The sequence below is a fragment of the Homo sapiens genome, chromosome 9 (genome assembly GCF_000001405.40).
Source record: "Homo sapiens chromosome 9, GRCh38.p14 Primary Assembly".
Lineage (NCBI taxonomy): Eukaryota > Metazoa > Chordata > Mammalia > Primates > Hominidae > Homo > Homo sapiens.
Window position 1 is genome coordinate 125,437,294 of NC_000009.12, and position 25,854 is coordinate 125,463,147.

Sequence of the window (25,854 nt, forward strand, 5' to 3'; positions counted from 1 at the left end):
AACTGCTGGCAAATGCCACCACCCAGGAGGCTCATGGCAGAGTCATGGTTTTCGGCATCACATACTCCAGACTTCAGAAACTCAACACAATATGCAAAAGTGTGTATTTATATGACTTTTATTTTAATATCATTTTAATATCGAATATGTCACAAGATTTAATGACCAAATTAGTCATTTACATTTTTCAAAGTATCTAAATATAAAATTGCTAAAAATTCAAATACAGATAGCAAGCTACAAATATTTCTTTTGTTTTTGGGTGGGGGGTAGGAATGGAAGACATTAGAAAAGGACGCTCCTGTTGGCTGAACAAAGATCAGAATGAAAGAAGAATTCATCAGCATGACCCCTTGTGCAAAGAAATACACTCAGCTTTAAGATGCTGTTTTAGACACATCTCTTCCTGTACAACAATTTAAAAAATGTTTCTAATGCAGGTCCTCAGTGAAACACCGGTCCCCGGCCCTGGCTGGGGACAGTAAGGACATCACCGCAGGAGGGACACTGAAGAGGCTGTCGAGGACTGCAGAGGCATCTGGTGTGGCCAGAGGCGTGGTGTCAGGGGCATCTGATCCCTTGCCTGTTCCCACCCAGGGAGCCGGACGGCACGGACACAGGTCTCCCTCCGCTCACCCCTCTCCCTGAAACGTGAGAAACAGCAGCTTTCCGCCTGCTTGAAAAAGGAGGCAGGCGCTGTAAGGAGAAGAGGAATGGGGAATGTGGCCCCTTCCAAGGCAGCGAAGCAGAGAACATGCAGGTGGAACTGCCAGCTGAAACCTACACTTGCTACTTAAGAAACGGAAAGACCATGTCTGGCTGGGAGTGCAGCGTGCCTGAGGACCAGCCACCGCCCCTCCTCCTGGCACCCCACACTGTCCACGCAGCTCCTGGGCTCTGAGGTCAGAAGCTGGGGTGTGCTGAAGGGGAAAGTGACACGGCCTTGGACACACCACTAGGTCTCTGTTCCTAACTTTTAGTAAGACACTACCCTCGAAGCAAATGCACTCATTTAAACAAATGGCATAGTTAAAACTATTGACTAAGACCTAAACATTTCTTCTGAGAAATCGAACCATAGCTTTTCCAATCTGCCTGTTCAATATGGGAACAGATTTTAAAGAGAGTAACATAATCAATCCTCCGCCCCAAAGAATGGTCCATCATACCAACCATGATAAAGAGTACACCTGTTTATTAAAAGGAAAAACAGAAATGTACATTTTTGTTGTTTGCTTTAAGAAATTTGATCAAGTTGCAAGGAAATGTGTGGGCACGGCTCTGTACATCCTCGGGCAGGGTGGCAGGCATTGAAGGTGGCTGGGCGGCACGTGGCTCCTCTAGGGGGTGGTCTGACCCCCAAGCATCGCTTATCAAAGCCACTGCCAAGCAGACTTCCGTCCCATGGCAATGTCCCCAGCGCTCCCTCCTAGGGGGCCCCCGACACCTTCCCCGAGAGCCCACCTGCCCTGTGCCAGTGAGCCAGGGGCTGGCCTCCCCCCGAGGACTTCAGGACACCGGGTGGACTCTAGGGCACTTGGCCCTGGCAGGCAGGCTCTGAGCTACGGAACAGATTGAGGCTGGAGGCCAGTGTCACTGCTGCCCGGATTTCTTCTCCTTCTGGAAGCTGAAGCTCGTACGTCTGTTCAGTTTTCTTTGTTTTTGAGCAAAGTAGTCAGCCCGGGCAGTGCTAGCTCGCGATTCCAGGATGTAGTTAACCTAGAAACAAGAGCACACAGCCCGGTCACCTTGCCAGCCGCTCCCTACCCACCCAGGGCATCGGAGGGGGTGGCAGGGAAGGCCCTGACCTGGGCCGGGTGCCTCAGGGCCAGGTGCTGTCGTGTGGAAGGAGTCCAGTCATCACAGCAACCTGGCAGCGGCTGGGCCCAGAGCCGCTGCTCTACGATGGGAAAACAGAGGCTTGGAGAAGCCAAGTGGCCAGTCCAGGCTTCCCAGTCAGTGAGCGGCGAGCTCTTCAGGTTCCGGAGCCCATGCTCCCTCCTGGCGTGAGCCACTCCCGGAAGGCTGTGCCCTGGGCTGCCTGGCTATGCCTCCCACCTGCTGTGTGACCTGGACAAGCACATAACCTCTCTGAGCCTGCCTTTCCCTGTGTGAAGGCCGAGAACACAGGGATGAAAAGCAAACCAAGACAGGCTCTCCATCCAGCCTCCCACCAGCCAGGCGCAGAGCTTCCCACCACAGTGCTTCCTTCAGGGCTCATGAGTGCCCAGCCAGGCAGGGCTCACTTGACAAAAAGGAAAGAGGCTCAGAGAGGGAGGCCAAAGTGGCCTAGGCCACGTGGAAGTCAGGGTGAGAGCTGTGAGGGGGCTGAAAGAGCCCTGTGTGAAGGGCGGGGCTGCCTCCTGGGCTCCTCTCAGGCCTTCTGCACGCTGCTGCTTCCACGAAGCCCTGGGAGTCTGCCCGGAGTCGCATGTGCATCTTCCACTCTGTGTAGCAGCTGCACCGCCAGGCGCTTCCCCAGCGCTACAGCGCTGAGACTTGGTCCTGGCCCTGGGGAGCTTGCTGCCTGGTGAGTGGGTGTCCAGCAGCAGAACCAGCACTGCAGCAGGCAAAGAGGAGCATCAAGGAATGGGGCTGAGTATCAGGGAGGTGTGGAGGAGGGAAGGCTTCCAGAGGAAAAGAGTGAGCGGGCTTTTGAGGGATACACAGGAGTTTTTGAGTGCGCAACGGGGAGGAGAGACGCAGCATGCATCAAGGCACAGCAGGGGCACGCCACAAGGGAGTGTCCCTGGAACTGCGAGAGCTTGGCTGGCTTAGTGAAATGAGGTGGTGGGAGCCAGGGAGGGGTGCTACAGTGGGATGCACACGCCCCAGTGCTGAGGACAGCCTGTGCCTGGGCATGGGCGGCAGCAGCAGTGTGAAATCAGTGGTGGCAACTGGCACTGCTCGGAGTGCCTTTCAGCGCTCATGGAATCTTCACAATAATCTTGAGACAGATGCCACTGTCATCCCCATGCACAGGTGAGGAAGTCAAGGCCAATGACAATAATGTCATTTAGTCAAGGTCACAAAGCTAGAAGGTGTCAGGCGCTTGGCAAACACCCCTTCCTGCTCCGCAGCCTCTCACCTCCTCTGCTCCTCTGGCTGGGGCTTTTGGTGAACAGACGCTATTTCTCTTCACCTGCAAGTATCTAAAAGTTTTGACTAGAAGGCTGAATATTTCTGACAAGAGAGGCCAGCCACTGCCTCTGCTGATTCTACTCCGAGGGCCATGTGTCCTGTGCCAGAGGGAGAGGAGCTTCTGCTGACTCCGAGAAGGAACCAGAGGGCTCCCGGGGGAGGCAGCGCGAGATGGCAACGCCTCAGATGGCCGAGGCTTCAACACTGTCCCTCCCAACTTTCTGCTCTGCTGGTTGGAGCAGCAGGCGTTAAAGGCTGGTGCGTGAGTACAGAAGGCCTGACACGCTCTGCCCGCTGCCTCGCCAAGTTACCAGCTGAGAGCAATAAATCATGAGGACCGCAGGGCCAGGTTGATGATTTGGGACAATACAGTGTATGGAAATAAGAGGTTTTATCATTCTTAATACAAGAAATCTTTGGATTATATTGTTTGCACACTCAGCCAACCTAGTGTTTTCAGTGTATTTTTGGCACATATAACTTGACAAAAGCATTTTAAAATGATCCTTAACAAGCCAACTATTTCCCAAATTTATTATCTTCAGTGCTTTGTGATAATCACATAGATAATGTTAATGGAAGATTAATGTAATAATCAAAAGATAAAAACGCCCTTTGCTCTGCCATTAGCTGGTTAATATGCTGTGGCTTAAAACTGGCACAATTTTATGCACTATAGAGTGTTTCATTTTCAACGCATTTTACAGCTTAAGGCATAAAAATATAGGGAGTTTTCATGGTCAATAAAGCCACAGCCTCCATCACTCAATCACGAGAAGAACCTGATTTGAAGAGCCCGACAACTCCTCTGAGATTCATCTCAAAGCCTGTGGAATTAGGGACCACCCATGGCTTAGCTCAGTGACATCTTGATGGGAAGAGGGCGGCTCTGGAGCTTCTCGGGCCAGGTTCAAGTAGAGGCTCCACCCTTGTGTGCTCTGTGACCTTGGGCCTCCATCTCCTCTTCTATAAAATGGGGACAATGTCTACATTCTGGAGGGCGGTCAGGAAGATTAAACAAGATAATGGACATTAGATGTACTGCATGTAGCTGGTGTTCAATAAATGGGAGACGTTCCTATTTCTACAAGCGCAAAAAGCTCGATGGAGGCTTTGTTCATGATTGTTTATTTGACATCAGATTGTGGCTCTTATTTCCTCCCTTCAATTTCCATCTAAGCTCTCATTTTATGTAAAATTCCTGAATTCTAGAACAACAGCATGCATTACTAGAGTCTAAACTGACTCCTCAAGAGCTTCTGATGGCAACAACATTTCTCCCAAGCTCCCGGACACAGGGCTGGGCTTCCGTTGCTTGGTACTGGTGCAAAGCTCACAAAGACACACTCAGGACACTGCAGGAATGGTGGATAAAACTAAGTATTCCAATTGCTATAAAAATCAGAGATGGGGCCGGGCCTGGCGGCTCATGTCTTTAATCTCAGCACTTTGGGAGGCTGAGGTGGGCAGATCACTTGAGGCCAGGAGTTCGAGACCAGCCTGGCCAATGGTGAAACCCCGTTCTCTACTAAAAATAGAAAAAAATTAGCTGGGCTTGGTGGCGGGTGCCTGTAATCCCAGCTACTCGGGAAGCTGAGGCAGGAGAATCACTTGAACCCGGGAGGTGGAGGTTGCAGTGTGCAGAGATCACACGACTACACCCCAGCCTGTGCAACAGAGTGAGACTCTGTCTCAAAAAAAAAAAAAAAAAAAAAAAAAAATCAGAGGTGGGAGAAGTACTATCTCATCTTCCATCAGGCTCATGATCATTAGCTCTAAGTAAATCAGGCCTAGGGTATGCTACAACTCTTCTGGAGTCTTGTGCATGACACAATATTTCTGCAAATATTTTGATATGGAAACAGACACTTTAGGGAAGGTGACAGACCTCACGGATTTTGCAGAGAAGCATCTGCTTCGAGGGAGCATTTGGACCTGTAAAATGATTTCTCTGCACTTGATCTTCCACAGTCTCATACTGAAGTCATAAACCTGTGTTTCTGTCATCAATCTGCTGTTGTGAAAATTATTTTGATGTCAAACATGGGATTATAATTTTACTAGAATCCTTCTCAAGTCTTGAATATTTTAATGCTGGCTATAAAAAAAAAAAAAAAAAGTCCAGCCCCTATCGGGGTAATGGAATATTTCTCTGCCAGGTCCCTGAACACTCTGCACAAGGGGCCCGTGCTGTCTGTGATGCTCCAGTGGGTAACTCGAAGCTCGCTGGCTGCAAGCACTCCCAGGCAGGCCCGTGTCCCCACTCCTTGGTCCAAGGAGGGGCTCTGATCAGGCTGGTCTATGAACCCTCTCCCTTTCATCCAGCTAATCATGCTACTCTGTCTGCTCCAAACTGTCCTTCCAGCTGCTCTTTTAAATTGCTACCTACTCCTTTTGAAAATCTTTTGCAGCCATGGGGAATGTGTCTCAATATATTCCTGGATCGCAATTCTATTTCATTGAAATCTCCCACACAACTCTTAGGTCATGCATATCTGGGGAATTAAAACACAAGTCTGAAATCTGTCAAATCTGGGGGCAAGTTCTGGTTCTGCCAACTTACCAGAGTCATGATCCTGGCTCTGCTACTTTATTCCTGATCCTCACTTTTCATCTGGGAAATGGGAACAACTTTATCTCATGATCTCACAGAGCTGTGAAGATGCACTGTGATGGGACACGTGGAGCCTCTGGCCCAGGTCCTGCACTGTGCAGTCCCTCAGCATATCTTCGCTACTTCTGCTATTATGTGATGACTTCAACTCTTCAGAAGAGACTGAATGATAACTTACATAGGTTTACCATGTCTCATCTGATTTGTACTCTAGCAGCCCTGGTGGGGTGGGGTAGCATAGGTACTATGATCCCCACTTTACAGGTGGGGACACTGAGTCCCAGAAAGGTGATGTGACTAGCCAGGGTCACACAACTAGGGGTGGGGGAGCCCTCTCTGGTCCTCGCCCCTGCTCTGCCACAGCAGCTGCTTTTCCTATCTGATCAACCTATGGAAGATTTGGCTTGAAGAAAGGATTCTCTGCTTGGGAGAGGCTGAGACCCCTAGTCCAGGGCTACTCAGAGTGTGGTGCCCAGACCAGCGGCCAAAGCAGCATCTGGCGCTTCTTGGAAACGTATGATCTCAGGTCCTATCCCAGACCTCCCAAATCCGCAAGACCCCTGGAGGCTCCCATGCCAAGCAGAGCTCCTCTCAGCCACACTCCACTCTGCAAGGCCCTGCACGGCCTAGCCCCGCCAGCCCCGCCAGCTCCCCCAGCCCCCCCAGCCCCCCATCCCCCTGTGCCTGCCTTGCCTCAGCCCATTCCCAGGCTGCCTGTCTGTGGTGCTTCCTCTCTCTTTACCTGGTCAACATCTGTGCCTTTTCAGTCATCCTTCAGGGTTCAGCTCTCCCTGCCTCCATACCTCCACCCCAAGTCAGTTTACTGTGACACACCCACACCTTTGAGACTAACGATCTCTTTGTAATTTTGTGTTTTATGCCTGTTTCCTCTGGTAGAGGAAAAGCTCTCCAGGGGCAGGGACAGAGTCTGTCACCGTGGCATCCCAGGCCGTGGCCAGGCACACGGAAGGTGCTCAGTGAGTATACTGTTTAGGTATGGTGACATACAAGTCTAGCAGAAAGTTAGGTATGTTTAGAACAGGTTGCTAAAATCACCTTCAGCATAATTATCTTCAAAACAATAATAATTTCCTCAGAGTCTGCTCCAGGAGCTTCAAGGAGCTCCTGACAATGGTTGCAGGAAAATAAACAGTACATAAAAGGAATAAACAAATACAGGAAGAGCCAGGGTTATTGGGATTGGGAGGAAACTGAAAAGGGTCCTGCTTTGACTGAAGCAGGTGCAGAGCAGCTGAGCGGGGGCTGGTGTGGCCCTGGCACAGGCACTCACCCCTGGGTGGCTGGCAAGCTGCGACACTCCTCCTCTGCCAAACTGGGCCCGGGAACCTTCTATAGAGCTGCGGAGTGGGTGGGGCTGCGGCCATGCCGCAAACAGCCTGAAGAGAAGCTGGACCCACCTACCCTGTCTCTGGTTCAAGAAGGAATACTCACCTTGAGCACAATTTCATTGACGGTAGCAGCGTCCGATTCAAAGTAGAGGTGTTTATAGTCGTGATTGCTTAGATACGTGAGTTTAAATATTGCGTGACCTGCAGAGACAGAAAACTGTGTTGAGGGGTTCTGGTGAGTTAACTATGGCGGGGGCCTCCATATGTTCTCCCCTATCATTCCAATTCGAGCGAGAGCAAGTGGAGGCTGAGCAGCACCTAGTCTTCCCAGGAGTAGTTCGTTTTCTCATTACAGGCTGGGTATAAAATGGACAATGAAAAAATTTTAAAGACTCAACAGCCAGTTAGGTCCCATTCCACTCTGGAATGCATTCAGGGGAATGCCACGTTAGGAAGGCTTTACGGAACTGCTGCTATATGATAATTACATGCAAAAGGTGGCGTTTTTAAGGGAGAAGGCTAATTAACTCCACATTATTACTCTAAAAATAAACTAACTGTTTAAAGTCAGATAAATGAGCAACAGGAAGGAGAAGGGTCAAAAGCCACACTATTATGAGGCTGCTCCACAGCCTGGGCTCCTGCTGGGAGAGGACTCCTGCCTGGAGAGGGAGAATCCCAGTTTTAGACCCTGCTGGAAGCTGCTCCCAAAGGCCTCAGGTCATCTCAACCCTGGGAGGATGGGGGCGGGGGGGGCACCATGGAAAGTGGGCACCTCACAAAGCGACCGACTCCAGGGGGCAGAGCTTCTGAATATAAATCTGATCTAGGTCTCCATTCTCCATGCCCCGTCCTACCACCTTCAGGATGACACTTGTCATTTCTGGGACTGCTTCCTGGTCTAGCCTCATCTCACTCCGCTGCCCCGACAGGCCACAGGCTGCCAGAGTGCTGCACACTCCCACCTGCCACACCAGCCTCTACACAGGTTCTTCCCCAAGCCTGGGATGTCCTCTCTCACTGACCCGGATGGGAAAGATTTGCTGATCCTGGGTGGCTCAGCTCAGCTGGCGCCTTCTTGGGTGAGTCTTCATAACCACACTTCTAGGCGCACTTCTTGTGTGGGCCTACCACACGGTACCGTGGCCCTCCAAAGGAACCTGCTTGTCTTATCATACCTGCAGCCATGGCTACATTATCTGGGCCTGTCCTTTTATGTCCAGACAGGTCAATCGGATTCCCTCTTCTAAATGCAGACATAGATGCTAGGCTGTCTAAACTGGCACAAGGACTGAGAATAAGATGAGGGGCTTTGGGACTCCCAGGCTCAGGCCCATGGGGGCTGCCCCGGCCTATCGGCACTGTTATCCTTGGGTTCTAGGAGACTCCTGTGGCCTTCCAAGAAATTCTTCTTTCGCCTTAAGCTACTGAAGTTGGTTTCCATTACTGGCAAGCAAAGGAACAGTGCCCAAGAGAGACACGTAGTCAGTATTCAGTAAACCTTCCTAGACCAAGGAGCAGCAGGTGACATCTCTAATATACAGGTCTCCTGCAAAACGCCCAGAAATGACCTTCCCTAGTCTTTCGACAGACCTTAGTGTCTGTAAGATTAAAATTCAGCATATCCTTTCTATTAGTCCTTCTCATCCGTTGTCCTTTTAATTGAAGCAGCGGCTGGTCATAGTTATTAATTAATAATATATCACCCATATTACTGTAAGTTCACCTCTTTCCTGGAGAAATCTTCTTGGGGACTTTACAGTAGCTAATTTTTCAGATCTCCAAAAATAAACTGATATATGTTGTACATTTGTGGCCAGAAAAGTTGAGCCACTGGTATTTTATCCTGGAAACATCATTATGATGTACTAATTGTGACTATAAATCCTAAATTGAAAAAATTACCTAATAATTTCTGAAAAACCTCACTTTCAGACACTTGACAAATTTAGCCTGATTCTAAATCATGGTACTAAAATGTGAGAATTCCTGACTGGAAGCTAGTCACTCTGTTAACATATAAATTCTGTGTTTCTAATAAGGAGGTGGACCTTACACAGAGGCATCTGTGTGTGCGTCTGTATCTATTCACATTCACAGGATCTACCCCACAACATCAGAATCTTGTCGGTGACATCCCTGTGTGGAGGAACAATGCGGGCACCTTTGTTGGCCATGCTGTGAACAAGCACAGCCATCTACAAAGGACACAGGGCTGTGAAGGACAAAGAGACACCCCCTCCAGGAGGCATTCCTGCTGACAACTGGTCACGACACACAAAGACACCAGGGCCTGGGGCTAGAAAGAACCAGAAGGTCTTAGGGAGACCCACAGACCCGAAGCTTCGGGGTTCACTGACCACTTTGATAAGACAGCTTATGGACTGTCCACACCACCTGCTCCCGCTTGTCACTGACAAAACCAAACCAAACCTCAAAGCACTAAAGCATGTTTTGCCTGAACAATTGAGACACTGTTAAAAAGGTTTCCTGCACTTTAAGCAGAGCCCAATCTATACACAGCACATGTAATAAGTAGTCTGCAAGGCCTAAGAGCCCCAGAAAGGAAGCGTTGACACTGTCCCCTTGGGACTATGGTGCTTGTGAAGCATGTCAATTGTGGGCTGACAGAGGGGAGGCCTGTGGTTCATCTGCACAGTCACGTGAAAAAAACAAAAAAATCATACCAAGCCAAGTCTCCTGAAAGGCTGCATATTTGAACCAAGTAACCTCAAATCCCGTCCTCTGAATTTTGAATGTATTTGGTTGCATGTGGAGGCTGTGTGTGTCTCCTGCCTATCCCCAGGGCTCATTCCAGCACCCATCTGAGGAAGAGTGAAGCAGGTGAGGAGGAGGAAGAGTCCCAACATTCCCCCACTCTCCCTCAAGCCTCCGGTCTGTTTGTCCTTTCCAGTGAAAGCACTCACGCCATAGGAGAGGGGAACAGAGGGCAGAGAACGTTCTGTGGAGCACTTGTGTTTGGACTTGAACAATGACACAGCTGCAAAGTTAATCACTGGGCCGAGGCACGGTGGACAGCCACAGCAGACAGCCCCCTCTTGCTCTCTGCAAGGAGTGATGAGCGGAACCCTGGGGGGCAAGGGCAGGTTAAGATCAGCAGCCATGCTGGGCCATAGGACATGGGGCGGACTCACTCCGCGGGCGTTTCTGCCCCGAGTTCCCCTCGCTAGCAGCCCTGTTTCGCTGGGCGGCCAGAAGGGCAGTTTTCCTCAGTCTGGGCTCTGCCAGGAGCATGGGCTAGAGCAAAGGACAGAGAAATGAACACCGAGAGTCAAATATGATGAGCGTGAAGAAGGTAAACGCAGGGAGCTGCCGTGGAGACACCAAGGCAGAAGCACCTGGCCAGAGGTGGAGAAGAGCCACTAGGGACAGTTTCTTGGGAGGAGCTGACACCTCCGCAGTTTTGGAGGAGGGCAGGGAGTCAGCTGGGTAAAGGTGAGGGTGGAGAAGGGTGAAAAAGAGGAAGATGCCACAGGGCAAGGAAACGGCATGGGCAAACATACAGGGTCTCCATGGGAGCTCTGGGCAAACCAGGGTCATGTGTGGCAGGCAGGTGGGAGGGAGAGGGACACAAAGGGCTGAGAGTGCCTGGAGTCACCAGCTGATGGGGGTCACTAGAGGGGTTTAAGCAGGGCAAGTGAAAGAAATGGGCAAACTGTGTTTTAGGGTGTTCTCCCTGGTTCCCTGGAGCCTGGAGGCGAGGTAAGCAGTTCCCGTAGTCAGCCAGGTAGGAGTGAGTGCAGTTTTGAGCTAGACAGGTGCAGAAAGGATACTGAAAAGGAATGGAGGCGAGAACTACAGAGAAGGTAATGTTGGCAGGATGGGGAGACTCTTTCACAACAGAATAATAGCTAATAATCAGAATTCACACTTTCATAATTTCACCCAGACCAAGACCTATATATTAAAGTGTAACAATTCATTGACCTCTTGCTGGAAATGAATCTGTCAATAAACATGAGTAATTTATGCCACATAGTAAATTTCCACCATAGGTGTCTGGGAAGAAGGAACTGCCCACACTTCAATACTGACTGAACAAAAGAACACCTGTTATCAGATACCATCAGCCTCAGACACCTCACAGTTCATCTCAGGTAGAAGAGGAAGAGGGGGCCAATGACCTCCTCAGCTGCAGCCCACCAGGCATCTCCCTGGGGCGTTAGAGGGAATCAGAGGTAGGCAAGTTACCTTTGAAAATTCCAAGACCACCAGCGGTTTTCATAGGAACAGGGTTAAGTCACAGGAGCAAGCTGTCTTTGTAAAAAATAGCTGAGACACTAGTTGTAAAAAAATAGCTGAGATGCTGGGCGCAGTGGCTCAAGCCTGTAATCCCAGCACTTTGGGAGGCCAAGGTGGATGGATCACCCGAGGTTAGGAGTTTGAGACCAGCCTTGCCAACACTGTGAAACCCTGTCTCTACTAAAAATACAAAAATTAGCTGGGCATGGAGGCACACACCCGGAATCCCAGCTACTTGGGAGGCTGAGGCAGGAGAATTGCTTGAACCCAGGAGGCGGAGGTTGCAGTGAGCTGAGATTGTGCCACAGCACTCTGGCCTGGGTGACAGAGCGAGACTCTGTCTCAAAAAAAAAAAAAAAAAAAATCAGCTAAGAAAAAGTTATGTATTAGTATGACTTTAAAAAAATGTAAAGTTTAATATTCCAATTAGTTCAAATTATTTTGCATTAATTGTTAAATTCTGTTTAAATTAAGGTTTAACAAAAGCCTGAGACACAGAGGAAAAAAAGCATAATTCCTGAAGTTAGAATTAGGATGAAATCCTAGCTCTGCCATGTTTCAGCTGTGGGACCTTGGCAAGGCACTGTCCCTTCCAAGGTTTGCCTGGCTGTAAAGGAGGGGATAGCATCTGTCAGTGATCTCTTATATGTCACATACATCCCTGCATATAGCAGGGAGGTGGTCATTCATTTAACTATGATGGAACTGGTATTTGATGATAAAATGCTAATTGCTTTGAAGATTGCATTTTTAATTGGGCCTCCTTTGAGCAGATTTGCTTTTATAGTGCTATGTAAATAAAATGCAATATAAGAGGGTATAAATGTGGCATCTAAGCACTGGTCACATGCTCAGGGCAGATACTGAAACTGTACCTCCACTCGTGAGTACTGAAGTGAAAATCTGGATATGTAGAACTGTATTTACACTTATGTAAGTTTTTCAAAGTAAGACAGAGAAGATAGAATTTAATACCAAGCAGAAACTAATTAGTGGCACAAATGTCAGAAGTGGAGACGTCCAGCTTTTGTGCTTTAATTCATCTTCTGTATTATGGATTCTAACTAAAACAGGAGGCTGTGCTGAAAAAACAGGTTCTTCCTGCCAGTTCAGGGGGCGTGGCCATGTTGGAAAGGCTGCTGTGGTCATGAGATGGGATGGCTTAAACATACATGAACAGCACTCACAACCCTGCTAAAAGAGGTGCTCCCAGACTTCCACTGCAAATCAACTGAAAGAAGGGTCTTTTTTTGATTTTCAATTTTTGCTCTTTTTTTTTTGAGATGGAGTCTCACTCTGTCACCCAGGCTGGAGTGCAGTGGTGACATCTCGGCTCACTGCAACCTCTGCCTGCTGGGTTCAAGCGATTCTCCTGCCTCAGCCTCCTGAGTAGCTGGTATTACAGGTACCCCCCACCATGCCCGGCTATCATTTTTTTTACTTTCCATCTGCCTTAAGAAAAGTCTCAAGGGAGGGTCTCTTCTAACACAACCTGCCAGTACTGACTGTGGCTGGCCATGACTGGTCAGAGCTGGAGCTGCCAGAATGAGCCTGCAGCCCACCTTTGCCTAAACCCCCAGGTGTCACCACTTGCCAAAAATATAAAAATAAACCTGTTTCTTTTCCTTATTAAAAATACTAGAAATTTAGAAGACAGAGGAGAACCTCCACACCCCACCCCAAAATCCCAACACTAGCACAATGCCATTCACGGTCTCTTTCCTAACCATTCTCGCCTGTTTTCACAGTTGTAATCAGATTGTATACTAGAAGTTGAGCTTAGTTTTTTTAAGTTAACATTTTACCATACCCCTTTCCCTGTTGCAACAATTTCTATAACCACCGTTTTCAATGGCTGCATCTTATTCCAACCAGTAGACGTGAGCTATGGGTCATGTTGCTATCTCTGTTGGGCTTCTGGGTTACTTATAAAATTGCCAGTACTATAAATAAGGCTACAAAGAACAGCTTTGAGGCTTGGGATTCTTTCTCAATTCCTTTACATCAGGCATGGATACTTTTTGAAAACTCAGTTTCCAAGGTCTGATGTCTTCTGGGCCCTCTGGCCTGAGAGGGGAACATTCTCACTGGATTTCTTGGGGGAAACCGATGGGAACACACATTGTTTTAGGCAAAGCTGTATCTTTCTGTAGGTCCTAGTAGGAAATGCTGGACTGGGGTTCTTTGGTCTCTGGGCTGAAAACTCCCTCCTGGTTGGGTCTCCTCTCCACCGTAAGCAACAGTTCTGGGCTGCCTGCAGGGAGCTTCAGCTCAAGGTAATTCAACTGGCAAAAGGGAGTGCTCCTTCCCAAGCACTCCTGCGTGGGCAGCGGCCTGGGCAACCATAGTAATGACCTCTTTGACCTCTAGAGCCGGGGATGTGCCTGACCTACTTACATTTCTGCCTGGATTCTCAAACTCCCTCTCTCTCTCTCTTTGGCTCCTTCCTGTAAACATAATTAAATCTCTAATTATAAAAACTCCCATGGCAATGTGATTTCCCTCCTTCCTCTCATGTATCGAAAACATTCTTGCTAAGGTCACTATGCCCTCAATGTCGAGAGATCCAGTAGAGATTTCTCAGCTGTTTTCGACACTTCTTAAAGTCCTGGCTTCCCTGGAGGCACGGTCACCTGATTCTTGGGTCCACGTCTCCAGTCATCTGTTTCTCACATTTCCTTTGTGATCTTCTGGACCTCCACCTGTCCCTTAAGCAATGGTCTTCCTGAGTTCTATCCTTGATCAGCACCTCCTCTAACTACGTTTTTCCTGTGTCGGGTTTGCCCTTGGGTTTTAGTTACTACTCACATGTTGGTGATCCTGAAGCAGCTATGTGGCCTATACCTTTCTCCAGAGTTTCAGAGCTGAGCAGTGGGTATGGCTGCCACCTCCACATGGCCCCCAGTGCAGCATGTCCAGAACAGACATCAGCATCTCCCCTTAAATTGGCAGTTGTGGTGGCACAACTGGAGGCTTCACCACGCACCAAGTACTGGGCATTTGGTCTCCTAGTTTTCACGTTTATCTTCCGTCCCTCTCTATCCTGGGACCACAGCCCTCACCCAGGTCCTGATCATCTATTGCTTTTTCTCTGGTTTTCCTTCTTTTGATCATGTCTTCTGCAGATTCAAACATCTACTCACAGGAGTTTTTTTTTTTTTTTTTTTGAGGCAGAGTCTCGCTCTATCCCCCAGGGTGGAGCGCAGTGGCGCGATCTCAGCTCACTGCAACCTCCGCCTCCCAAGTTCAAGCCATTCTCCTGCCTCAGCCTCCAGAGTAGCTGGGATTACAGGCGCCTGCCACCACGCCAGGCTAATTTTTGTATTTTTAGTAGAGACGGGGTTTCGCCATGTTGGTCAGGCTGGTCTTGAACTCCTGACCTTGGGTGATCTGCCCGCCTTGGCCTCCTGAAGTGCTGGGATTACAGGCATGAGCCACCGCACCAGCCCGTTTTTTTGAGACAGAGTCTTCCTCTGTCACTCAGCTGGAGTGCAGTGCTGCGATCTGGGCTCACTGCAATCTCTGTCTCCTGAGTTTGAGTGATCCTCCCACCTCAGCCTCCCAAGTAGCTGGGATTACAGGCGTGCGCCACCACGCCGAGCTAATTTTTGAAATTTTTGTGGAGATGGGGTTTTGCCATGTTGGCTAGGCTAGTCTCGAACTCCTGGCCTCAAGTGATCTGCATACCTCGGCCTCTCAAAGTGCTGGGATGACAGGCGTGAGCCACTACGCCTGGCCAGGAGTCATTCTTTTAAAACATACCATCTGGACCCCCTACTTAAAACTCTGCAGTGCTTCTTTTCCTGTCATCCTCAGAATAAAGTCCAAGCTTCATAAGATGATTTTCAAGACCCCAGATCAGCAGTTCTCAAACTTTTTGGTCTCAGAAGCCCTTAATACTCTTAAACACTATTGAGGAGTCCAAAAAGCTTATGTGGATTATACCTATCAACATTTATTGTGTTAGAAATTCGGCCAGGTGTGGTGGCTCACGCCTGTAATCCCAGCACTTTGGGAGGCCAGGAGTTTGAGACCAGCCTGGCCAACATGGAGAAACCCTGTCTCTACTAAAAATACAAAAACTAGCCGGGTGTGGTGGTGTGTGCCTGAGGCTGGGCTGGGAGGCTGAGGCACGAGAATTTTGAACCTGGGAAGTGGAGGTTGCAGTAAGGCGGAATCATGTCACTGGCCACTGTACTCCAGCGTGGGTAACACAGCGGGACTCTGTCTCAAAAACAAACAAACAAACAAAAAAAGAAAATAAATGAAATTAAAACTGAGAAATTAAAAAATATATATTAACTCACTAAAATAATACACCCATTACAAATTAACATATTTTAAAATGGAAAAACCCTTATATCTCCCCAAAGTTAAATAAGAGTGGCATTATTTATTTATTTATTTATTTTTCTGAGACAGAGTCTCACTCTGTTGCCCAGGCTAGAGTGCAGTGGCATGATCTTGACTCACTGCAACCTCCACCTCCTGGGTTCAAGCAATTCTCCTGCCTCAGCCTTCTGAGTAGCTGGGCTACAGGGGTGCAACACCAGGCCTGGCTAATTTTTGTATTTTTAGTAGAGACAATAGAGATGGAGTTTCGCCATGCTGGCAAGGCTGGTCTCGTACTCCTGACCTCAGATGATCTATCTGCCTCGGCCTCTCAAAGTGTTGGGATTACAGGCGTGAGCCTCCGTACCAGCCTATTTTATGTTTTGAAATCTCTTTAACATTTGGTTGAACAGAAAACAGCTGGATTATCCAATCTGATTCTGCATTTGATCTGCTGTGATATAGTTTTGGTTAAAGTAAATGAAGAAAAGCCAGACTCCCGCAGATATGTTTTTGGAAAAGTGAGGCATATTTTAATGTTCTTCTTTGTAAATATTCCTCTTTGATACTACACTGAACTTGATAAATGGTATTTTCTTAAAGATTAGTTGCAATGTGGAATATAAACCTCATTAATAAACTTTTTTGTATTCTGTTACATTAAAATCTATTGGTCTGTTTTACATTTTGAATCTTTCCCCTTGCCTGCTTTTGTAACATCATGCAGTAGTCTGGAAAATATTGGTTCACTGAGTTATGCAGATTTTCCAAATGTTGACATATTTCATTTGACAATATCGAAAAAAAATCACTTTCATTAATATCACTACTGATATTGGAAAAGTCTTTAAGCGATGAGAAGCCAAGCTCAGTGATGGAAATTTCCCAAAACTCTAATTTTCACCTGAAAGTTTGAACTTCATCACTGGCAATAAATACTATCACTTGTTCTCCTTGAAGTGACAGACTCACTTCCTTCATTTTCAAGAAAAGGTCTGCCCAATATTCATTTGAATAACCATAGTTTGTCAGTTGTTCTTTCAAGTTATAATAAGGTTCCATGAAACAAACAACTGGTTCAGCTTGCAATTCAAATAATTAAACAAGTGCTATTCCTTGAGACAAGTACCCTACTTCTGAATGCAGCAGAAATGCTTCCATGTACTTCAGGAAATAAATTAAGAACAATGGCTTATGAGGGCCTTTTGACGCTTCAATTCATGTGTAAGTTGTTCTAGTAAAATACCACACTGCATTTCAATAACCAAGTATTGGTTGAGGTTTATTCTTCAGCTCTTAGAGAAGTAGATAAGAAACAAGTTCTGCATCCGGGAATTTCCTCCTTGGAGGGACTTAAAGTCTATGACAAGCTTGAGTTTGCAAGTACTCTATGGGAGGCTAAATTACTACAAATGAAACCTCATCTATCCAGAATCACTGGAGTGGAGAGCTAGGGTAACCTTTGTGCAAAAAGCCCTTTTCCATTTTAAGCATTAAAATTCTATATTATAGACCTTCCTTCTGCATTAGAGTATAAGGAAAAGAAAATACTGTTTTATCACTTTTTTCTGTATAAGTACTGAACATCATGATTCTCCCAGGGTTGCAAAAGGCTCTATGTTGTGCCACAAAATTGCTCCATACTACACTGTTTACTGAGTTTTTGGAATGCTCTTTAATAGTTTTTGTTTAGTTTTATTTTTGGTCAACTCTTGTTAGCTTTCACTTCCCACTGTCTTTATTATTTCAGTTCTGTCATTCTCTCTCCCTCTTTTAATATTCTGCATTTAATATCCTTTAGGAAGAGAAACCAGATAACCAAGCAAGGATGAAATTTGTTTAAAAAAAGAAGACTTCATACACTCTGAGTTGGGGCTAGGGTTATTCTTCCTTCAGGAAAGCACAGATGTTGGCTGGGTGCAGTGGCTCATGCCTGTAATCCCAGCACTTTGGGAGGCCAAGATGAGAGAACTGCTTGAGGCTAGGAGTTCAAGGCCAGCCTGGTCAACATAGTGAGACCCCCATCTCTATTTTAATAATAATTAAAAAAAAAACCCAAAAAACAAAAATAAAAAAAATGAGAAAACATAGACATTTAAGTGCCTTGGCTTTGTGTCAGTGGCAGAGGGAAGACTGTGGACCTCTGTTCCATTTACAGATAACTTTGGACAAGTTATGTAGCTTCTCTGAGCCCCAGTTAACTCATTGATAAAATGGGAATATTATCTGTCTCACAAGTTGTTAGGATTACATAACCCTAAAAAGTCGTCCAACAATGTTAGAATTATATAATAAGTGTAGACACAACCTCACAGAGTTGTTGCAAGAATTAAATAATGTGTAAAAAGGACTTGGAACACTATCTGATGGGGGATGTTCCCCTTGCTTCCTTTTTCACCTCTACTCTCAGACAAGCAAACTTTTCCTATAAAGGGCCAGATAGTAAATGCTTTAGGTTTTATGGACCAAGAGATAAAACTGAGGATACTTTGTAGATACACAAGAAGAGAGAAAAAAAATTTCACATTTTTTATTGACAAAATTCAAAATTTAATCATCAAATACATTTTTGGGTAATACAGATCTATTAATAAGAAGTGTAGTTTTTTTTTTTTCCTTTGGTTGAGGGAATAACATTTCACTTAAATGGGATCCAAAATTAGTGTTCTGTATCATCACATCAATTGCAAATGTTTATCTGTAAAATCCATTCTTGCCTGACAGGCCATACAAAAACAGGTAGTGGGCTGGATTTGGCCTGTGGGCCACAGTTTGCCAATTCCTGCTGGAAAAGGTCTCTCTTGCTCCTTCCCTTTTTCTTGGTTCATTCCATATCGTTGGTAACTGATATTTTGAGTGTTCTCAGTTCTCTGTGCAGATTTGGGTTTCCTTCTGGTATTTTTACCCTCCAGCCTTTCACTTCTCATAGTGTAAGGTTTAGTGGCGACAAATTATTTCATTTTTTTTGATTGCCTGAAATGTCATTATTTCACCTTCCTTTCTGAAGGATATTTTCACTGAATATAGGATTCTAAGTTGACAGACTTTTTTCTTTTAGCATTTTAGAGGCATCATTCCATTGTCTTCTGGATTGCATTATTTCTAATGAGAAGTCAGCAACTATTCTTATCTTGGTTTCTCTACGTAATATGTCTTCTTCGGCTGCTTTTAAGATTTTTCTCTTTATCGCTGGTTCTCAGCAGTTTGATTATAATGTGCCTTGGTGTGGTTTTCTTTATATTTATCATGCTTAGCTTTCATTTGGCTTCCAAGATTGCTGGTTTGATATTTGAAATCAAATCTGGAATAGTTTTTCCCCTCCATCACCAAGACTACAATTACATATATGTTAGAACACTTGCTATGACTCCAAAGGCTCTAATCTCTTCATCCATTTTTTCTCTGTGCCTTGAATAGTTTCTGTTGTTCTGTCATAGAGTTCACTGATTGTGGCAGATTCTGAAATGGCTCCCAATGATCCTACCTTCTGCTTTTCATGCCCTTGTGTAATGCCCTTGTCTTGTTTGTGGCCTGGACCTAGCGACTTGCTTCTAATGAATAATATAGCAGAAGCGTTGGGATGTCACTTCTGTGAATAAGTTATAGAAGACTGTAACTTATTCCTTGCTAGCACTCTCTCACTCTTGCTTACTTTGATGAAGCCAGCTCCATCATGTAAGCTTCTCTTTGGAGAACTGAGGGTGTTCCCAAGGAAGTAAACTCTGCCAGCAACGACTCAGTGAGCTTGGAAGACCTTGTCTGAATGAAACCCTGAGATGACTGCAGTCCCAGCTGATGTCTTGATTGCAGCCTTTTGAGAGACCCCAAGCCAGAGGACTCAGTTAAGCTGTGGGATACCTGACCCACCAAACTGTAAGACAGTAAATGTTACTGCTGTTTTAAGCCACTATGTTTTGGGGCAATTTGTTTTGTGGCAATAGATAAGTAATGCACTGATCTTTTTTCATCATCATACTAATCTGCTCCCATTTAGTGAATTTTTTTTTTTTTTTTGAGACAGAGTCTCACTCTGCTGTCCAGGCTGGAGTACAGTGGCGCGATCCTGGCTCACTGCAACCTCTGCCTCCTGGGTTCAAGCGATTCTCCTGCCTCAGCCTCATGAGTAGCTGGGATTACAGGCATAAGCCACCATGCCTGGCTAATTTTTGCATTTTTAGTAGAGACAGGCTTTCACCATGTTGGCCAGGCTGGTCTCGAACTCCTGACCTCAGGTGATCTACCCACCTCGGCCTCCCAAAGTACTGGGATTATAGGCATGAGCCACTGTGCCCGGCCCATTTAGTGAATTTTTTGATTCAGGTATTGTATTTCTCAGCTCTGGAATTTTCATTTGGTTCTTCTTAAGTTTTAATTTTTCTTCTTTTTGAGTTCTTCTTTTAAGTCCCTGAACATATTTATAATAGCTATTTTAAGGTACTTCTCTGTGAATTCTATCACCTCTGACTCTTCTGGTTCTATTTTATTGATTGATTGTTTCCTTGGTTATGAGACACATGTTCCTGCTTCTTTGCATGTCTAGTAATTTTTAAGCGAATGCTGGACACTATCAATATTACACTGTAGGTGTCTGCATTGTGCTGTCCTTTACAGAGTATTGGGCTTTGTTCTGGTAGAAGCTAATTTACTTGTGGATCAGTTTGATCCTTTCAAGATTCCTTTTAAGGTTTTTGCAAGGATTAGAGCAGTCTTTAGTCTATGGCTAATTTAGTCCTATTTCTAAGATATGGCCTTCCTGGAATCACTACTAAATGCCCTGGATGCTCCACTCTGGTTAGCCAGAACTCTAGTTTATAGCTCCCCAGTAGTTGCTTGCCCAGCCTTGTAAGGTCCCACTGCAGGCATGCATAGTTTAGTATACAGTGAAAGATTCAAGGGGCTCTTTCTAGAGCTCTTTCTCCCTTCCATACTCTATTCTGCAAATTTCCGTTGCTTTAGCCTCCTCCATCTCTTATCTCTGTCTTCCAGCTCAGTGAGACTGCCATACTTTCCTTGGGTTCTCTCTTCCTGCGAAAATCTGGAGAAAAGCTGAGGTGATCATCAGTCTCACCTCTTTTGTTACCTTTCTCTCAGGGATCACAGTCCTGAACTGCATATTTTCTAATGTCCAAAAGTGGTTTTTATATTTTGTTCAGTTTTCTCATCACTTACGATAGAAAGGCTAATCTGGTCGAAGTTACCATGTGTTGGAAGTTGCATATGGAGTCTTTTTTTTTTTTTTTTTAATTGATCATTCTTGGGTGTTTCTCGCAGAGTGGGATTTGGCAGGGTCATATGACAATAGTGGAGGGAAGGTCAGCAGATTAATAAGTGAACAAAGGTCTCTGGTTTTCCTAGGCAGAGGACCCTGCGGCCCTCTGCAGTGTTTGTGTCCCTGGGTACTTGAGATTAGGGAGTGGTGATGACTCTTAACGAGCATGCTGCCTTCAAGCATCTGTTTAACAAAGCACATCTTGCACCGCCCTTAATCCATTTAACCCTGAGTGGACACAGCACATGTTTCAGAGAGCACAGGGTTGGGGGCAAGGTCACAGATCAACAGGATCCCAAGGCAGAAGAATCTTTCTTAGTACAGAACAAAATGAAAAGTCTCCCATGTCTACTTCCTTCTACACAGACAGGGCAACCATCCGATTTCTCAATCTTTTCCCCACCCCTCCCCCCTTTCTATTCCACAAAACCGCCATCGTCATCCTGGCCTGTTCTCAATGAGCTGTTGGGTACACCTCCCAGATGGTGTGGTGGCTGGGCAGAGGGGCTCTTCACATCCCAGAAGGGGCGGCCGGGCAGAGGCGCCCCTCACCTCCCGGACGGGGCGGCTGGCCGGGTGGGGGGCTGACCCCCCCTACCTCCCTCCCGGACGGGGCCGCTGGCCGGGCGGGGCGGCTGGCCGGGCGGGGGGCTGACCCCCCCACCTCCCTCCCGGACGGGGTGGCTGCCGGGCGGAGACGCTCCTCACTTCCCAGACGGGGTGGCTGCCGGGCGGAGGGGCTCCTCACTTCTCAGACGGGGCGGCTGCCGGGCGGAGGGGCTCCTCACTTCTCAGACGGGGCGGTTGCCAGGCAGAGGGTCTCCTCACTTCTCAGAAGGGGCGGCCGGGCAGAGACGCTCTTCACCTCCCAGACGGGGTCGCGGCCGGGCAGAGGCGCTCCTCACATCCCAGACGGGGCGGCGGGGCAGAGGCGCTCCCCACATCTCAGACGATGGGCGGCGGGGCAGAGAGGCTCCTCACTTCCTAGATGTGATGGCGGCCGGGAAGAGGCGCTCCTCACTTCCTAGATCGGATGGCGGCCAGGCAGAGATGCTCCTCACTTTCCAGACTGGGCAGCCAGGCAGAGGGGCTCCTCACATCCCAGACGATGGGCGGCCAGGCAGAGACGCTCCTCACTTCCCAGACGGGGTGGCGGCCGGGCAGAGGCTGCAATCTCGGCACTTTGGGAGGCCAAGGCAGGCGGCTGGGAGGTGGAGGTTGTAGCGAGCCGAGATCACGCCACTGCACTCCAGCCTGGGCACCATTGAGCACTGAGTGAACGAGACTCCGTCTGCAATCCCGGCACCTCAGGAGGCCGAGGCTGGCGGATCACTCGCGGTTAGGAGCTGGAGACCAGCCCGGCCAACTCAGCGAAACCCCGTCTCCACGAAAAAAATACGAAAGCCAGTCAGGCGTGGCGGCACGCGCCTGCAATCGCAGGCACTCGGCAGGCTGAGGCAGGAGAATCAGGCAGGGAGGTTGCAGTGAGCCGAGATGGCAGCAGTACAGTCCAGCTTCGGCTCGGCATCAGAGGGAGACCGTGGAAAGAGAGGGAGAGGGAGACCGTGGAAAGAGAGGGAGAGGGAGACCGTGGGGAGAGGGAGAGGGAGAGGGACGCATATGGAGTCTTATAAGCAATACACACTTTGATTTTAATGAAACTATGGCTTACTTTTTCCATGTCTAAGAGAGTAACTTAAAATCTAAGCTCTCCATTTATTTATTATGAAAACACAATTTGGAGCTTGGCAGGAGGCAAGGGAAAACAGATTATCCCCCATCATTTATCCAGCTGAGAAATCTTTCACACAGAATTTTTCAGTAGGGAACAGCCCCTGCCCTTACCCTCTTCTCAATTAGGATCTCTTCTGATATTAAAATCAAGAAAGAATGAATTTGAGAAAATGGTAATCAAAATCTAGGAAAACGCAAATGTATAGAAATTTTTCATTTTACCTAGGCAATTGTTTTGTTACAATGGGTCCATAAAGCCCAAGTCAACAATTAAGTGAAAACTTAATAGCAAAAAGGAGGCTTCTCCCAGGAGAAAAAAAAAAAAGTTGATACCCTCAAAATGTTTTCTACTCTAACAAATATCAATATTCCAATCAACACAAATTTTCTTTCTTGTTTATTAATACGTCCGAGGGAAAAATGAAGAAAATTTACAGAAAATGTAAGAAAACTCACTATCTCAGCACCAGCCAATTTTCCTCGTAGACATTCTTACACGTTCTGTAAACATACACATAACGTCCCCTATGAGCAACTCTAGTGCCTGATGACGAATATGGGAGGTGTGCTCTTCTTACCAACTATCTGGGGGTCAGAGGAGAATCTTCTGACTCCGAAATTCAGAGTGTTGATCCTTCTAGGGCCCACTGTATCAAAACACCTTTTTTATAGGAACTACAGAGACAAGCACATTGGTACCATCTATCATACACTGAGGGTCAATAGCAATAGTTTAAGAGTAAGATGTTAGGTTTCCCTTGTCACTACAACTGTGAGAAGTTCTCCACTGTGCTCCCATACCCCTTTTTGAAGAGCCACACTTGCTCTTGGCTGATTCCAAATTCCAGAGGCACTTTTAAATCTCATTGTGCCTAGGCAGAATTAGAAAAAGTCATCAAGCACTGGTGATGACTGGACAGAAGCTGCTGGATTTCTGGAGGAAGCAGGGAGTGTAAATAAATAGGCATGCCTAAAGCACAAGTCAGATGTCAGCTCATGATGACCAGGTCAGTCAATGGGACACACGTTGGCCTGGCTGAGTTCTCAGGGACCTGGCCAATGCTATCCAACTCTGCCAAACTGTTCCCTGAAAGCACAGTGATTTGCCTGTTTAACAGCAGATTGTGGCTTGAGGTTACTGGAAACCAAACTGGGTCAGAGAACCTAAGAAGACAGTTCAACATTAGATGACGCAAGCTGGCCGTCTGCTTACGGTTTTTCTCCACCTTTATCCTGTGGTGCACTCCAAGTCTTTCCCTCCCACACGCTTGGAAAAATTGTGGTGGTCCCTCTGGTTGCCTAAACCCATCTCCCCGGCACTCCCTTGTTTTGGAAGGAGATGAGAAATAAATCAAAATGCACTAAGCAGCACTTCCACAGGCATTCGCCTCCTTCACTGAATGTGCACCTCATCAATCACACTATTGTCTGCTTGAAAGGCGAGCCTTGTAAATGTCATATCCACTCAGGCCCAAGGAGAGGTGCATCCAAATGCAGCAAGGAGTTTTAATTGGATAGTGTAATTAAACTAAAAAACCCCAGCAGACTTCCTTTGACAGGATAGATGAAGACCCCTTTTAATAGGGCTAGGAAACATATCTGTTAAAAGGATGAGGCACTGCCTGCTCCTGATTGTGCTCCAGAGTACTCTTATGAAAAGGCAATTCAATAACTGGGGCATTAATATGTGAGAGTCCGTTGTGTTCTGTAATCAGGCAGTACTTACTGTATTTGATCTGGAACTTATGAAATAAGCCCTTGTTAGAGAATAAAAACACAACATAACGTGTCCACCTAACGTCTGGAGTGCCTGGATCTCCCGGGAGTGGACAGAGCCTGAGGAAGGGCTGTTGCCTTCCTGGGCTGCAGCTCCAGTTATACTGGAGTATAACTGCAGGTGCCTCACCTACTGGGCCCTCAGTGCACCAGCAGGGCTGTAGATATCCACCTGTCTACCTTGGGGCTGTAGCTCTTTCATCCAAAGGTAACTAAAGTCATCCTCATTCCTCTTTCACACATTTCATGAGAGCATCTCAAGAATATGACAAAATTCCTGGGTATCTCCTCCCTTAGGAACTAGAATGCCTATCACATGAGAAAGAGAGAGAGCGCATGAGCAAGCAAGAGCGCACATGCGTGTGTTCTCTGCTAGAACTACCCATGTCAAATAGGGAGAAAGAAATCAGGTGGCGAGGATCCGACGGATAAGCTGGGGTGTGCCCAGGGTGATTTCAGTAACAAGCATGAATCCTTCAGCCACAGTCTCCCTGCTCTCCTTTGTTGGGGGTGGGCTGGGGGTGAGGAATGCACATACTGGCACATTCAGCCACACATATACATGTGAGGCCTGCAGCTCTACAAACAAGTAACAAAATCAGTGAGAACATATGAAGAAGTTTGTATCTTCACAAGGCTGTCTTACAAGTGGCCCATGACAATCCCCTGCAGCTGGAATGCCAGTTTAGGGAACCCAGCATCTGGGTGGATTAAGACAGCCTCTGAACTGGGGCTAAGGTGGGATGCAGAGGTGAGATTTCAGACCAGCCCATCTATAGCTTTCCAAAAACCAGCTTTGCTTTGTTTACATAAACCCTGAAGTCAGTTTCCCTGAGCCCTCAGGGTTTGTTTAATGACTGACTGCTTTTACTCTTCATAAAGCCTGTTTGGAGCTATTTGCAAACCTATGAACATTCTTAATACTGGTCTTTCACTATGGGTTAATGAACCCATTAAAAACATGTAAGTGAATTTGTATAATCTAGGAAAACTGGATACTGAATTAAACCATCAAATACCCTTAGTTTAACTGAAAACTACACACAAGCATTTCAGCCATCAATTTGGCTATCACTTCTAGCCAGTATGAATTCTGCTGGAAAAGCTATTTTTGTACAGATGTGGAATTCAATGGGAAAGACTGACTCGTGTACCAACATCAATCAAAATGTCGACTTCCCTGGCAGCTCTCAACAGTAAGGCAGGTTCAAAGGTCACAGGATAAAGAAAAAGCCAAGCTCTGGTTCAGCTCTAATATCTCCTCGGTAGAAGTCTTGCAAAAGTACCCCCTTCTGTATTAGCCTTGCTTTCATTAATCTTCTTGCCATCTTCTTTAACTAGTCATGCAGAACCGCTCGATAGCAAGACGTATAATG

The 25,854-nt window shown here is 46.8% G+C and overlaps 1 protein-coding gene across 5 annotated transcripts in view, besides 6 other annotated features; it reads right to left on the minus strand.

Moving 5' to 3' along the window:
• Positions 1-100: 100 nt before the first annotated feature.
• MAPKAP1 (MAPK associated protein 1) overlaps positions 101-25,854 on the minus strand; it is a 269,815-nt gene continuing 244,061 nt past the window's right edge. For all 5 annotated transcript variants that reach the window (NM_001006621.2, NM_001006620.2, NM_024117.4 and 2 more), the window contains 2 exons: positions 7,208-7,305; positions 101-1,719 (listed from right to left, as the gene is read on the minus strand). In NM_001006621.2, coding sequence (NP_001006622.1) covers positions 1,594-1,719; positions 7,208-7,305 — 224 coding nt within the window. In that variant the 3' untranslated portion in view covers positions 101-1,593. The remainder of the gene's footprint in view (positions 1,720-7,207; positions 7,306-25,854) is intronic.
• Positions 7,537-8,038: an enhancer, noted in NCBI's record as "H3K4me1 hESC enhancer chr9:128207109-128207610 (GRCh37/hg19 assembly coordinates)". NCBI's record gives its function as "activates a minimal SCP1, AML or CMV promoter by ChIP-STARR-seq in naive H9 embryonic stem cells {active_cell/tissue: H9 hESC(naive)}" and the evidence as "EXISTENCE:reporter gene assay evidence [ECO:0000049][PMID:30033119]".
• Positions 8,039-8,538: an enhancer, noted in NCBI's record as "H3K4me1 hESC enhancer chr9:128207611-128208110 (GRCh37/hg19 assembly coordinates)". NCBI's record gives its function as "activates a minimal SCP1, AML or CMV promoter by ChIP-STARR-seq in naive H9 embryonic stem cells {active_cell/tissue: H9 hESC(naive)}" and the evidence as "EXISTENCE:reporter gene assay evidence [ECO:0000049][PMID:30033119]".
• Positions 9,034-9,563: an enhancer, noted in NCBI's record as "NANOG hESC enhancer chr9:128208606-128209135 (GRCh37/hg19 assembly coordinates)". NCBI's record gives its function as "activates a minimal SCP1, AML or CMV promoter by ChIP-STARR-seq in naive H9 embryonic stem cells {active_cell/tissue: H9 hESC(naive)}" and the evidence as "EXISTENCE:reporter gene assay evidence [ECO:0000049][PMID:30033119]".
• Positions 9,666-9,875: an enhancer, noted in NCBI's record as "active region_29003". NCBI's record gives its function as "activates an Ori minimal core promoter by ATAC-STARR-seq in GM12878 lymphoblastoid cells {active_cell/tissue: GM12878}" and the evidence as "EXISTENCE:reporter gene assay evidence [ECO:0000049][PMID:35858748]".
• Positions 9,666-10,300: a biological region, named in NCBI's record as "H3K4me1 hESC enhancer GRCh37_chr9:128209344-128209872".
• Positions 9,772-10,300: an enhancer, noted in NCBI's record as "H3K4me1 hESC enhancer chr9:128209344-128209872 (GRCh37/hg19 assembly coordinates)". NCBI's record gives its function as "activates a minimal SCP1, AML or CMV promoter by ChIP-STARR-seq in naive H9 embryonic stem cells {active_cell/tissue: H9 hESC(naive)}" and the evidence as "EXISTENCE:reporter gene assay evidence [ECO:0000049][PMID:30033119]".